This window comes from Homo sapiens, chromosome 10 (genome assembly GCF_000001405.40).
Source record: "Homo sapiens chromosome 10, GRCh38.p14 Primary Assembly".
NCBI classification, from domain to species: Eukaryota; Metazoa; Chordata; class Mammalia; order Primates; family Hominidae; genus Homo; species Homo sapiens.
In genome coordinates this window covers 108,453,977-108,467,170 of record NC_000010.11, presented here as the reverse complement: position 1 = coordinate 108,467,170, position 13,194 = coordinate 108,453,977, and the positions used below count along the sequence as shown (strand labels likewise).

Here is a 13,194-nt window from a genome sequence, read left to right as displayed (position 1 = left end):
TCTAAAACAATGTCTCCTCAAAATGGAAAATGTTCAACTGAGAATATGGATATTTTTCCTTTAGCATAAACTAGCATAGCATTCTTAGTTTGAAGATTTGATCAAATAAATTGCTATTCCAATTCAAAATAGCTGCAATACATGTAACTATTATAAGTTAAGAGAAGTAGTGTAAAATAATCATGTATCAGACTGGTTTTGAACCCGATTTCACCACTAACCAGCTGTAACCTCATCGATCATAGAGAGTGATAATTGTTGCCTCAGATCATCTTTTGAGCATGTTGTGTGTACATAGGCCCAAAGGATCCAACATTATTTTTGAGGGCTACCTTTCTAGGGTTTCCCACAGGCCAGAACACGGAGCCTGAGTGAAAAGCCAGGTAGAGGTGTCCAGTCATTGGGAATCAGATGGCAAAGAAAAGCCCCTTCCCAACTCCGACATATCCACCCTCCAGGAGCCCGGGTCGACCGCCCCCGCGGGCAGGGTGCGCGGACTAGGCAGGGAGACCCGCGGCTGCGGGGGCGCAGAGTGGTCAGCGGGGATAGGCGGAGGCAGCGCCTGCGAGGCCTAGGGGGGGGTCGCCGGCGGCGCCTCCAGCGCCCGGAGACCTGGCATCGGCCGCCCTCCTTCCCGCGTGCCCGCCAGCGCCCGTGCCTGCTCAGCCAGTGACTTCAGTTCGGCTCCACCCCCGCGCGGCTGCGGCTCGCTCCTTCCAGACTCGCGCTCGGCACAAACCCAGCCCCAGCGAGCGGCCGCCAGCTGCCCGGCGCCACCTCCACCCGCCCCCACCGCGGCCCAACTTGGAGGGAATTGGGGTCCTGAGCGCCTGCCCCCCACAGCCGCCAGCGCAGAGCCACGCGCTGCCACCTTCGGTCTGGGACCCCTCTCTGCTGTTCTCCGCCCCCGCGGTGGGAAAAGTGGGCGCCGGCGGCTGCTTCCCAGCCCTGCTGAACCGAAAGTTCTGGGTTTCAGCGGGAGATGGGGGCGCGCCACCGCGACCAGGTGCAGGAGAGGAGGCCACTTCGCACAGAATCAGCAACTGTCCAATGGTCTGGCCCGCACAGCAGGAGTTGTGAGGTTCCCACGTGGCTGGGTACAAGGGGAACGTTCCAAAGCCCGTTGGTTGGTCTGTTGGAATGTGGGGGCGGGTGGGGCTTCTGGACTGGGAAGTGCTGCGCACCTTCCCTCATCTGCTGAGCGATCTGGCTTCACTGCTTCATGCTACACACCCGACAGCTGAATAGTTTTCTCCAAATCTCTTATTTCCCGACTCCTTGGCCACCATGTGTGAAGCTGAAGATCAGACCAAAAGGGGAAGGGGTTAAAATATAATATCTGGGGTTCGACCATTAAAAAGTTTAAATTTACAGGTAATCTGCAATACATGCCCTTAGTGTATTCCTTGTGGAGTTTTTTGTTTTTATTTATTTATTTATTTATTTATTTATTTATTTATTTAGTTAGTTAGTTAGTTAGTTAGTTTAGAACTTGTCTGTGTATTTCCGGACGGGGCACTCCAGCACTCCAGCATCTTCTAAAAGACCCAGTGTAGGGAGGGGTGTGTGTGTGTGTGTGTGTGTGTGTGCACTGTGAGCAGTCCTAGGTAGGTCAGATATCCCAGTACAACTACACCCTCCATCCATGCCCCCATCACGCCCCTATTGCAAGAAGAAAAATAAAACTCTTAGCCTTTCCTTTACGGAGGGAGGGAAGAAATTACTACATTACAGGAGGCTGGCACTGGAGTTTGAGGCTGGGATTCTGCTGGGAACAAAGCAGATAGTTAAAAGTGAACGTTGATAATTTGGGCTCTTTCCCAGGAAAGTTTTAGGGTTTCTAGAAAATTCTATATGTTCGGAATTTGAGGGAGTTTTTTTTGTTGTTGTTGTTTAAGCTAAACTTAGAAATTAACTTGCCCTCAAAATAAGGCAGCAGCTTGGATGGCAGTAGCTCAAGACTCAAGACCATTTATTTTCAAATGTGAAAAGGTCTCCAGATTGTCATAAAGCAGGCAAGAGACCATAAAAAGTAAGGATGGATAAAAATAAAATGAAATAAAAATTGGAAACTCAGTTAAGAAACTGAGAATTTTATTGTTTGTCAGATGCGATGGTTATCCAGCTTAGTAGTTTTCACGATGTTTGTATATGACATTTAATTTCCAGAAACTTTCCAGGAGAGGTACACATTATCATGTTGTACTTGTTTCTAGATCTTTAATAATAACAGTCATGGACATTCAAAATTAATAGTTTGCATTTTATGAATATTCTTGGTACGCAGATATAGATTTCATTATGCCAAACCATGATAAGGCATTTAGTACTGAAGTTTATTTCATAAGAATGTGCCCAGGATTCCCCCTAATATTCAGCCTTCATTACATGGGCTGTGATTTTATAGCAGTTAACTCTGGAGTAATCAAATAAATGAAGTAAAAATTATTTTCCTTTGGATACTGAAGGTTTTGCCCTCACTTCCTACCTTACCTAGTTGAGTTTTCATGTTGTAGCCACTATAATTAATCCTCCAATTTGAATTTAAATATTATTGAACTGATTGAATAACTTTCTGCTTTGACTAACTCAAAGTTTCTGACTTTAAAGGAGGATTTTCGAAAGAAGCATGTAGTTGTCTGACTATGAAGCAAATAACTTATGAATGATATTATTTATGCTGTAAAATATGAATTGTGCATTCAATCTCTTTCATCTAGTTTATTTCTTGGAAGAGTGAGAAGAGTATATATTTGGCTAACAAGTAACACCAATTAAGAACTGTTTCAAATAACTTCTACCCTCCTTGCCTATCCATGGTTGCTTATAAGTATAATGGAGCTTATTGGGGTTACAACTTAGAGACTGGCTGGCACAGAATTCTAGAATAATGCAGTAAATATAGAGGTGGTGATTGCTAAGAATTTGAGTATCCTAACATATTTTACTCTACATTGTACCCAACATAGACACACACAGACAGGTTACTTTTTCAGTATTTACATATACATTAAGGGTGGAGAAAAATAGTTATTGCCCAAGTCTTCAAAAGCAAAGATATTCAATTTCCCCAGCCCTCGTTTTCTGGTCTGGTTTCATAGGAAATTACATATCATACGTACATTGCGTGTGTGTGTATTTTATTTTATTGAGTGAATGTGTATAAAACTTTTTTGATGAAGGTTAACAGATGTTTCTCATTGGCAATGATTTATGAGAAATGGTTATCAAAAGGAGCCATCTCCAATTTTTTTCTTTGAATCCTCTTAATGTTATTATATTTTTAGTGCTATCTATATGAAAAAGCACATCTCTTGGATCATTTTCCATGAAGCTCATTTTTTTGAGTTGACATCCATCAGCTCAATGTTCCTGTTAAACTAGAGGTTCAACCTGGGCCAGCTTTAAGAATTTGTTTTAATCTTTTAAAACAAATAGCTGAAAAAATGAAATTATCTCATTTCAGCTATTTTATGTAGTAGGCATTATAATTCTCATTATATGGAAGAGAGAGCTGATGTTTAGAAAACCTGTGATGTGGCAAGGAAGTTGACTTGGTCTGTTCAGGTTGCTGGAACAACATACTATCAACTGAGTAGCTTATAAACAACAGAACTTTATTTCTGCTAGTTCTGGATGTGGGAAAGTCTGAGATCAAGGCACTGGCAGACTTTGTCTCTGGCGAGGGCCCATTTCCTGGTTAGTAGGCAGCTATCTTTCCCCTTTGTCCTCACATGGTAAAAAGGGGTATAACAGCTCTCTGGGGCTTCTTTTTTAAAAGCACCAATCCCACCGTGAGTGCTCTGACGTCAGGGCCTCATCATCTCCCAAAGCCTTCCAGGTCCCCAGTACGATCACCTTGGTGACTAGGTTTCAACCTATGAATCTGAGAGGGACACAAACATTCAGACCAGAGGAGGTGAAGAACAGAGCAGTGGGCAGGACTGTACTACACACCTGTTAGAACAGCCAAAATCCCAAACACTGGCAACTTCCAAATGCTAACAAAGGTGTGGTACATCCAAAACTGATGGGAATGCAAAATGGTAGTTATTTTGTAAGACAGATTGGAAGTTTCTTACGAACTAAAGATACTCTTACTGTAAGATCCAGCAATCATACCAATGAAACATTTATGTAAATGAGCTGAAAACATACGTGCACATAAAACCTTATTTTATTTTCTTGAGATGGAGTTTCGCTCTTATTGCCCAGGCTGGAGTGCAATGGCACAATCTTAGCTCACTGCAACCTCTGCCTCCCAGGTTCAAGCGATTCTCCTGCCTCAGCCTTCTGAGTAGCTGGGATTACAGGCATGCGCCACCACACCTGGCTAGTTTTCATATTTTTAGTAGAGATGGGGTTTCTCCATGTTGGTCAGGCAGGTCTTGAACTCCCAACCTCAGGTGATCCACCCACCTCAGCCTCCCAAAGTGCTGTGATTACAGGCATAAGCCACTGCACCCGGACCTTTTACATAATCTTTTAGGAATTCTAATCATAATTTGAGAAATTTGGAAGCAACCAAAGTATCCTTCAATAAGTATATTTATAAACTATGGTATCATTGTATCTACATAATCCATATAATGTAATATTATCCAGTGATTTTTTAAATGAGCTATCTAACCATAAAATATATGGAAGGGTCTTGAATGCTAAGTGAAAGACGCCAGTCTGCAAAGGCTATATACTGCATAGTGTCAACTATACCACATTCTGGAAAAGGCAAAACAGTAAAAAGATAAGTAGTTGTCAGGGGTTAGGTGGAAGGAAGGGATGAATATACAGAACACAGAGGATTTTAGGGCAGTGAAAGTATTCTGTATGGTTGTATAATGGTGGATACATGTCATTATTCATTTCTCAAAACCCACAGAATATTCAGTAGCAGGAATTGAAAGCAATATTTTTTGTCATCATCATGTGTAAATGTAGATTCATGGACTGTAACAAATGTCCCATGGCGGTATGGATGTTGACAGTGGGGGAGGCTGCCTGTGTCAGGGCAAAGGGCACAGGGAACTCTCTGTCCTTTCAGCTCAATGCTGCTGTGGACCTAACACTGCTCTAAAAATTATAGTCTATTAATAATAAAAATAACATTAGGTATAAACGATAAAAAAATAAACTCCAGTTGATCTTTCACCAAAGCCTAGGGAATATCTTGCCTTTCAGACTTTGATGCAGGATATAGGAAAATGACTATTAAAGAACTTGTATTTTAAATAATTTAGTTGGGTAAATTCCAGTGGATGGTGTTTGGTAATTTCATCTCTCTGTAGAAAAGAAAGACTTTAAACATGTGCCCGTCATGTCACTTTCTTGCCTAAGGTAGTGATTAGTGGTCCTCTCACCTACTCATCTCTTTATTTTTAGTGCTAGAATCTGTAACTGGCAATTCCTTGAGCCCAAGATAACCCATGATGATCATTCAGGTTATTCAGCAGACCATTTAATGGATTTGTGGTTCTTCTGGGTTAGAGTACTTCTCTGAGTTAATAAGGAAATACGATTCTGTTGAGAGGTCAGATATGAACACTTGATTTGATGTTTGAAAAGATCTTTTTACCACTTTTTAAAAGTAAGAAGATAGGGGCCAGGCGTGGTGGCTCATACCTGTAATCACAGCATTTTGGGAGGCCGAGGTGGGCGGATCATGAGATCAGAAGTTCAAGACCAGCCTGGCCAACATGGTAAAACCCCATCTCTACCAAAAAAAAAAAAAAAAAAAAATTAAAAAAAATAACTGGACATGGTGGCATGTGCTTGTAATCTCAGCTACTTGGGAGGCTAGGCAGGAGAATCATTTCAACCTGGGAGGCAGAGGTTGTAGTGAGCCAGGATCGTGCCATTGCACTCCAGCATGGGTGACAGGGTGATTCTCCATCTCAAAACAAAACAAAACAAAACAAAACAAAACAAAACAAAAAAACAATATATATATATGAAACTTGGTTTTTTGTTTTTGTATTTTTCAGCAAGACTATTTTTTTTTCTTTTCTAATTAAATAAAATTAGTGTTCTGGCAGTATTCATCAATGAAAAGGAATGTGTCAAGGAAAGCAAGACACTGTAGTGGAAAATTCATAATATTTGGTAGGAGACAGACCTAGTTTTGAATCTTAGAATCCCTGTTTATTAACAATGTAGTGGTCAGAAAGTCTCTTTGATTTCCTTATTTGAAATATGTTGATTGTGCCTGCCTGGCTTGCCAACCATGTGAGATATATGTCTAAAGCATTTACGCTTGGTGGGTACTTAATAATTGGTACTGTCTTTATTAAAGGAAAGTGTTTTCTGCTGGAATACAGGACGTTCTAGTTCTCTAGTTCTTAGGTTCTAGTTCTCATTCTCTATGTAAATTTAATTAGCCAAGTAATCATAACGCATTCATATTTCTTGATATCAATTTTATTCTCTATAATATCAAGATAAGCTAGAACTTCAGATCTGAAGTGCCATCCAGGTATGAATCAGTGTATCAGATTTTTAAGTTGCAGCTGTTGAGCACCAAGGACATCTAAGTGAAGTGCGCTGGATATCCTGGAGAAACAGAGATGATGCATAGATCTGTACCGTCAGTGTCGCTGAAATAACATATCACATTCACATGTAACGTTGCCCTTAGGTAGTTGAGGAAGTGTCTTCCCCACTGTTAATATGCATATTATGCAAAGAAATTCCTGAAATTTAAAATTTGGGGTGGGTTTTATTTAAATCAAAGTAAAAAAGATATTTTTCACACTGAAAAACAACCCATGAATATGTCTTTGCATAATATATTTGTATGAAGCATTATATAGAAAATATGTATTGACTTGATATAAGCATCTTCTGTCAAGCTAATACAGATAAAAAACAAAAACAATAAATGCTTGCCATAAGGACAGGTATCTGAGTCTGTATTGTTTATCAATATATTTCTGGGATCTAAAGAGTATCTGGCATAGTTTAAGGGATCAATAAATGATATATGTAGATAAATACATACATAGATACATAGACATGTAGAAACAGATATATCTGCAATGTAGTAAAATCACATGTGTTTTCTTCCAGAGTTGCCTGCAAAAGGAGCTTCTGGGCCTTTGTTTAAGAACTACCTTGTTTAGAAGAGAGGACTGTAGGGATAATTGTATTAATCTCACTTCACTCTTTGTGTATTATGTAGAAGTCAAGCTTCCCCAAAAGTCCATCATTAACTTCTTCATATTTAAGTATATGTGTGACTGATTCATTCCTTTATAGTAGAATTTGATTATCTAGGCTGTGATCTTTATTATCCACCGTTATTTAATATGTTTCTGTTTTTTAAAAAGGGGAACAGGAATGATTTTATTATCTTTTTGGTCAAGCAGCCCAAATCAAAGTACACAGTAGAGTGTGTGCATTATGTCAAGTTGGTTGGTGGCCCATTTTATTGTGTTATTGGTTTCCCGAATACTGTTCTCTCTAGTCAGCAAAGTTTACAAATGCAAATAAAAGACAGTGGTTATGCAAATTAAATCGATTACCTTTCAATATTTTAATCTTCATAGACTTATACAGTTTATAGGACATGTATACAGATTAATACAAAATTTATCAAAAAGAACTTATTTTATTATTAGAGTAATTTGAGTGAAATAAAAATGATTGCTTGAAGCTGCTCAGGGAGAAATATTGAATCTCTGAGTGAAGCATTACAGGCAGCTTGAAGGGTCTCCTCTTGGTCTAGTGGGCCAGGGAATTTGAGGTCACTTAGAATCGTTGAGCCTCTTCAGCAAATTACTGATGAAACAAACAAACAAAAACCATGGGTTCAGTGATATACATTGTTATCTCATAAACAACTCCCTTTGGTTACCATCTCAAAGGAGTAGAACATTTCTAATTATCAAATTACTAACTCCATTTCCCTCTACACTGGATAAACTAAAGTATCTATTTATGCTACCCTATTATCAGCAAGTATAATTTTATGACACAGTATATAAATTTCAGACTTAGGAATCAAACAGCCTAGTTTAATATTCTGGCTCAGGCTCTTACTAACAGTGTCATCCTGGACAAATTTTTTAGTATAGTTGACTCTTGAACAACACAGGTTTGAACTGTGTGAGTACACTTATATTCAGATACTTTTAAAAAAAGATATTAGAACTTTTTTGAGATTTGCAATGACTTGAAAAAGCTTACAGATGAACCATGTAGACTAGAAATACTGAAAAAATTAAGAAAAAGTTAGACATGTCCTGATTATATAAAATATACGTAGATACTAGTCTGTTTTTGTCATTTACCACCATAAAATATACACAAATCTATTGTAGAAAGTCAAAACTTATCAAAACTTCTTCATGCAAACACAGACCATGCATGATGCTATTCTCAGTGGGGAGAAATGTAAACAAACATAAAGATAAAGTATTAAATTATAACTACATAAAATTAACCGTAGTACGTACTATACTACTGCAATAATTCTGTAGCCACCTTCTGTTGCTGTTGCAGTGAGTTCAAGTGTTGGTACTATCCGCTTAAAATGCCCTGTGATGCTCTTCATCTCCACCTGAGCAGTTTCTCTTTCCAGCAAATTGTATTCTCGCATATTTTTCATCCTGTTTAGCGCAGCACTATAAACCTTGACTAACACCATAGGACCCATACAAAGTGCCACTAGTGTTGTTGGAAAAGCTCCCAAGAAACTGATGAAAGTCATAACATTACAAAAAAAAAAAGTTGAATTGCTTGATGTGTACCATAGATTGCAGTCTGCAGCTGTGGTTTCCTGCCATTTCAGATAGGTGATTCATATCATAAACAGAATACATGAACTTACATTATCAATAAATACAATATAGCACTGTAAATACATTTTATCTTTTCTATGAATTTCTTAATAACATTTTTTCTCTGGCTTTATTGTAAAAGTATAATATATATAATATTATAACATACAAAATATGTGCTAGTTGACTGTTATTGGTAAGGCTTCCATTCAACAGTAGACTATTTATAGTTACATTTTCAGAGAGTCAAGTGTTTTTTTTTTTATTATTATACTTTAAGTTTTAGGGTACATGTGCACAATGTGCAGGTTAGTTACATATGGATACATGTGCCATGCTGGTGTGCTGCACCCACTAACTCTTCATCTAGCATTAGGTATATCTCCCAATGCTATCCCTCCCCCCTCCCCCCACCCCACAACAGTCCCCAGAGTGTGATGTTCCCCTTCCTGTGTCCATGTGTTCTCATTGTTCAATTCCCACCTATGAGTGAGAATATGCGGTGTTTGGTTTTTTGTTCTTGCGGTAGTTTACTGAGAATGATGATTTCCAATTTCATCCATGTCCCTACAAAGGACATGAACTCATCATTTTTTATGGCTGCATAGTATTCCATGGTGTACATGTACCACATTTTCTTAATCCAGTCTATCATTGTTGGACATTTGGGTTGGTTCCAAGTCTTTGCTATTGTGAATAATGCCGCAATAAACATATGTGTGCATGTGTCTTTACAGCAGCATGATTTATAGTCCTTTGGGTATATACCCAGTAATGGGATGGCTGGGTCAAATGGTATTTCTAGTTCTAGATCCCTGAGGAATCGCCACACTGACTTCCACAATGGTTGAACTAGTTTACAGTCCCACCAACAGTGTAAAAGTGTTCCTATTTCTCCACATCCTCTCCAGCACTTGTTGTTTCCTAACAGAGTCAAAAGTTGTATGTGTATTTTCAACTATACAGGCAATTGGTTTCCCTAACCCCAACATTGTTCGAAGGTCAACTGTATTTCTAAGTCTCAGTTCTCTGGGGTCTAAAATGTGATGAATAATAGTGTCTGTCTCTAGGGTGGTTGTGAAGATAAAATGAGACATTCAAATAAAACATTTAGCACAAAACCTAAGATATAGTATGTGGTCAATAAAAGTTAACTATTTTGTTAATAACCCACTTTAAAATCTGTCATTGATAATCGAGGTACAATAGATGCTTAGTAACATGAGCTTTTTCCTGGTAAGCAGTAAATACATAGATACATGAACTCTGGGGAAGCTCGATCTATGATAGATGCTTGAAACCTTCAGGATTGTCATTGACAATGAAGCTCCAGAAGAATACTTTCCATGAGAGTCTATACACAGTGTGCCCTTAACCTTCTTATCCTTCTACTGAAACCCAACACTGCTGCTGTGGATAGTAGTGTCTGGCTGAACAAGCAGTCAATTTGCTGAATTCAGTTGATGGCAATTTCTTTAATTCACTGCTAAAAACTCCCTTGGGAAGCAAAAAATCTATTTCACTGTATAATTGTCACATGTGCTTTGTAAAACACATATAACAGTTTCTCTGAATTTATTTAATTAAATGATTTTAAATGTTCTTAACATAATGGCAAGAACCAAACTTTCCTGAATTTCATCATGTGTAAAGTGAAGGCATATTGGGGTTTACCTAGCACAGTGACTTCTAAACTTAGAGGCTGCAGTTGTCCTGAAGTCAAGGGAACTGATAACAGGAACCCAAACATACTTGTAATAATCCAAATACTCAATGAATATTTATCATCTAATCTTGGTTGATTGTATCTTCCATTTTTCACGCTTTTGGATGGAGTTGGTGATCTGCGCAGTGTTGCTCTCAGACTTATTGACATTGTTGCTTTCAAGTAAAGTAGAAGGAAGATAAAAAGGTTTTAGGTCAAAACAAAACAAACAAACAAAACCTTTTTATTTACATTTCCTAAACAATCTACCTGCCCATAATTCTCAGCAACTTACTTATCATATCCGACCTTATTTGGTACAGCAAATTTTGGGTAATACAAATATAAGCAAGGGATCAGGAGTTGGGGAAACAACTGGGGAGGAAGAAAATAATACTTGACTTTTACTCTGGATCTACTTTGATAATCACAGAAATAGAGATCTCAGACTCCAGAAGTCATATGTGTTTGTGTGCGTGCATGAGCATGCATGCAATTTTAGCTGGACTACACCTTCTCACGTGACTGGATTCTTTCCCAATCTGTGGATCCTCTGCAGACCATTTATCAATAGAGGCTACAGAGAAATCCATTCAATAGAACTTTCTGCAATGATGGAAATATCCTCTACTCTGCCAGCACAATAGCTTCTAGCCACCATGGCTATTAATCATTTGAAATCTGACTAGTGCAACAGAGTAATTGCAGTTTTAGTTTTATTTAATTTTAATTATTTTGAATTTAATTATTAATAGCTATATGTAGTCAGTGGCTAGCATATTGGGCAGTGCAGTTATATAATACCTCCTCTTGGTTGCCTTTGCCTGACAGCCATATACAAAATTCAGTGGTCTTTGCAAGCACCGTGATGAGCTATTCAAAAGCCTGATGCACGGATCTCTTCCTAAGGGAAAAGTGAAAGGGCCAGCTATGCCATGAGTGAAGCCATCCTCAAATTCAGTGTCTCCTCTGTGGTCACTTCTATACTCCCCATCCTCCTGTCCTCCTATGGTAGCTGATAATGCTTCCATAAGCTTTTCAGTTAGTGCAGTATCTGGCCTTGTCTTTGAAACCCCAGAAAAGAGTGTCTAGTTAGTACAATTCCCAGAAAGATTAGAGCAGCCATTTTACCTGAATAAGTCCATTGAGCTAAATTCTTATTGAGAGGTGAGAGAACCTGAGAATTCAGAACCAATGACCTTTAGAAATCATGAACCTCAGTGTTTTCCAAGTGTGGTACGTGTGATGCCATGGTGTGTGAAGTGATTTTGGGTGGGAGCATAATGCACTTTGATGTACTATTTCATTTTAATTTCATTAGTTAAACTTATTTTAATGTGTACCCTTGAGTTAATATTTGCATGATGTATCTCTTTCTATTTCTTTAATCTTTTGTGATACTACTCAAACCACTCAGTGACATTGTCTTGGACATACAAGGGGAAATTGGAGCACATTCGAAAGTGCTTTTTAATGTTTGAGAAAATGTATTCTTACATGAAAGTATCTGTGACTCATTTTCTTTTTAGCAGAATAAAATCATTCTGTTATTCTATCACTCTATCTCTCAAAGTGAGAAACTAATGTACATCTTTTTTGTCTTGTAGCCTAGAAACATAATTAGATACATCTGATGGAGTCAGGGCTGAAGGAATGAACTCTAGCTTTGGCTAGAGCCTGAGACTGCCAGAAACATGTGGAACTGATTTGCAGTCCTGGTTCTTTGTTCCCAGTCCCCAAGATAATTTAGCTTGCCTCTTTTTTTAAAAAGTAGTTTCAACATTTTGTTTTGGTCATTGATTTTATCTAGGCATATATTGATAGAGACATAAAGAAATATATGTTAGCAGTCTTTCCCTTGAGCTCACCATCTGGTTGGGGAGATAAGTTGGCTGGTTCTTTGAACAGTAGAAAAGTAAGAATAGCTGAATTAATTAAGTTTAACTATGTTTCTTAGGTCAGTCTCTGAGGCTCTGTCCCTACATGAGACGGACCTCATCAACTCAGTTGCCCAGTACAAGAAAGTGAACCAAGGCTGCAGTACGACTCCACTATGCTTTTGAAATACCACCCATGGTTTTCTGTTCCCACAAATCACTGTTTAACATGAACACTTATTTCCCACTGAGCAGTTATTTTGGGTTAAGTAAAGTGGGCTTACGGGGGCCATTTTAATGGCTTCTACTTCAGCCTATCAACCCTCAGTTTGTTCCTCATTCCTGTGACTGTCCTGCGCTCTTATGAAGAGAGTGATTCATTTATTCGAGTTTGGTTAAATAAATGAGAGAACAAGCATAGATGACCTGTTGAATTGCATAATTTTTTCCCACATCTTGCTTTTTCACAGTCATCTTTCATGATAAGTTATTGTAGAAGAATTTAGGTTTGGAAATGGGTCTTGATATGAAAGCCAGTGAGAGAGAAAGAGCAAAAAGGTAAGAAAAGAGAACTTGGAAAGTACAGTTTTATCATTGAGTGGGTGGATGGACTTCTATTACTGATAGTAATTGCCTCAACTAAAAATATTAAAGTCATTTAGGTTATTTCATGAACATTTGTTCAAATCTAAATTATATCAAAATATAAAAAAATACCCCTTGCAGGGAACATGGGTGTAGGTGTTGTACATGACAGCAAAACAGTGTCTTCAGGCTCCCTGCCAGTAAGTCCCTCTGCTTCACAAAACCAGGAGTTGGCTTTCACCTCTAGTCTTCT

At 38.5% G+C, this 13,194-nt stretch overlaps 1 long non-coding RNA gene across 4 annotated transcripts in view, besides 2 other annotated features; it reads left to right on the top strand.

The window, feature by feature from the left end:
* Positions 451 to 950: an enhancer, noted in NCBI's record as "H3K4me1 hESC enhancer chr10:110225979-110226478 (GRCh37/hg19 assembly coordinates)". NCBI's record gives its function as "activates a minimal SCP1, AML or CMV promoter by ChIP-STARR-seq in primed H9 embryonic stem cells {active_cell/tissue: H9 hESC(primed)}" and the evidence as "EXISTENCE:reporter gene assay evidence [ECO:0000049][PMID:30033119]".
* LOC105378477 (uncharacterized) overlaps positions 774 to 13,194 on the top strand; it is a 70,747-nt gene continuing 58,326 nt past the window's right edge. For 2 of the 4 annotated variants that reach the window (XR_946308.2, XR_946312.2), the window contains exon 1: positions 774 to 1,374. This is a non-coding gene — a long non-coding RNA (uncharacterized LOC105378477). The remainder of the gene's footprint in view (positions 1,375 to 13,194) is intronic. The other 2 variants (XR_946310.2, XR_946309.2) reach the window with 2 other exon arrangements.
* Positions 951 to 1,452: an enhancer, noted in NCBI's record as "H3K4me1 hESC enhancer chr10:110225477-110225978 (GRCh37/hg19 assembly coordinates)". NCBI's record gives its function as "activates a minimal SCP1, AML or CMV promoter by ChIP-STARR-seq in primed H9 embryonic stem cells {active_cell/tissue: H9 hESC(primed)}" and the evidence as "EXISTENCE:reporter gene assay evidence [ECO:0000049][PMID:30033119]".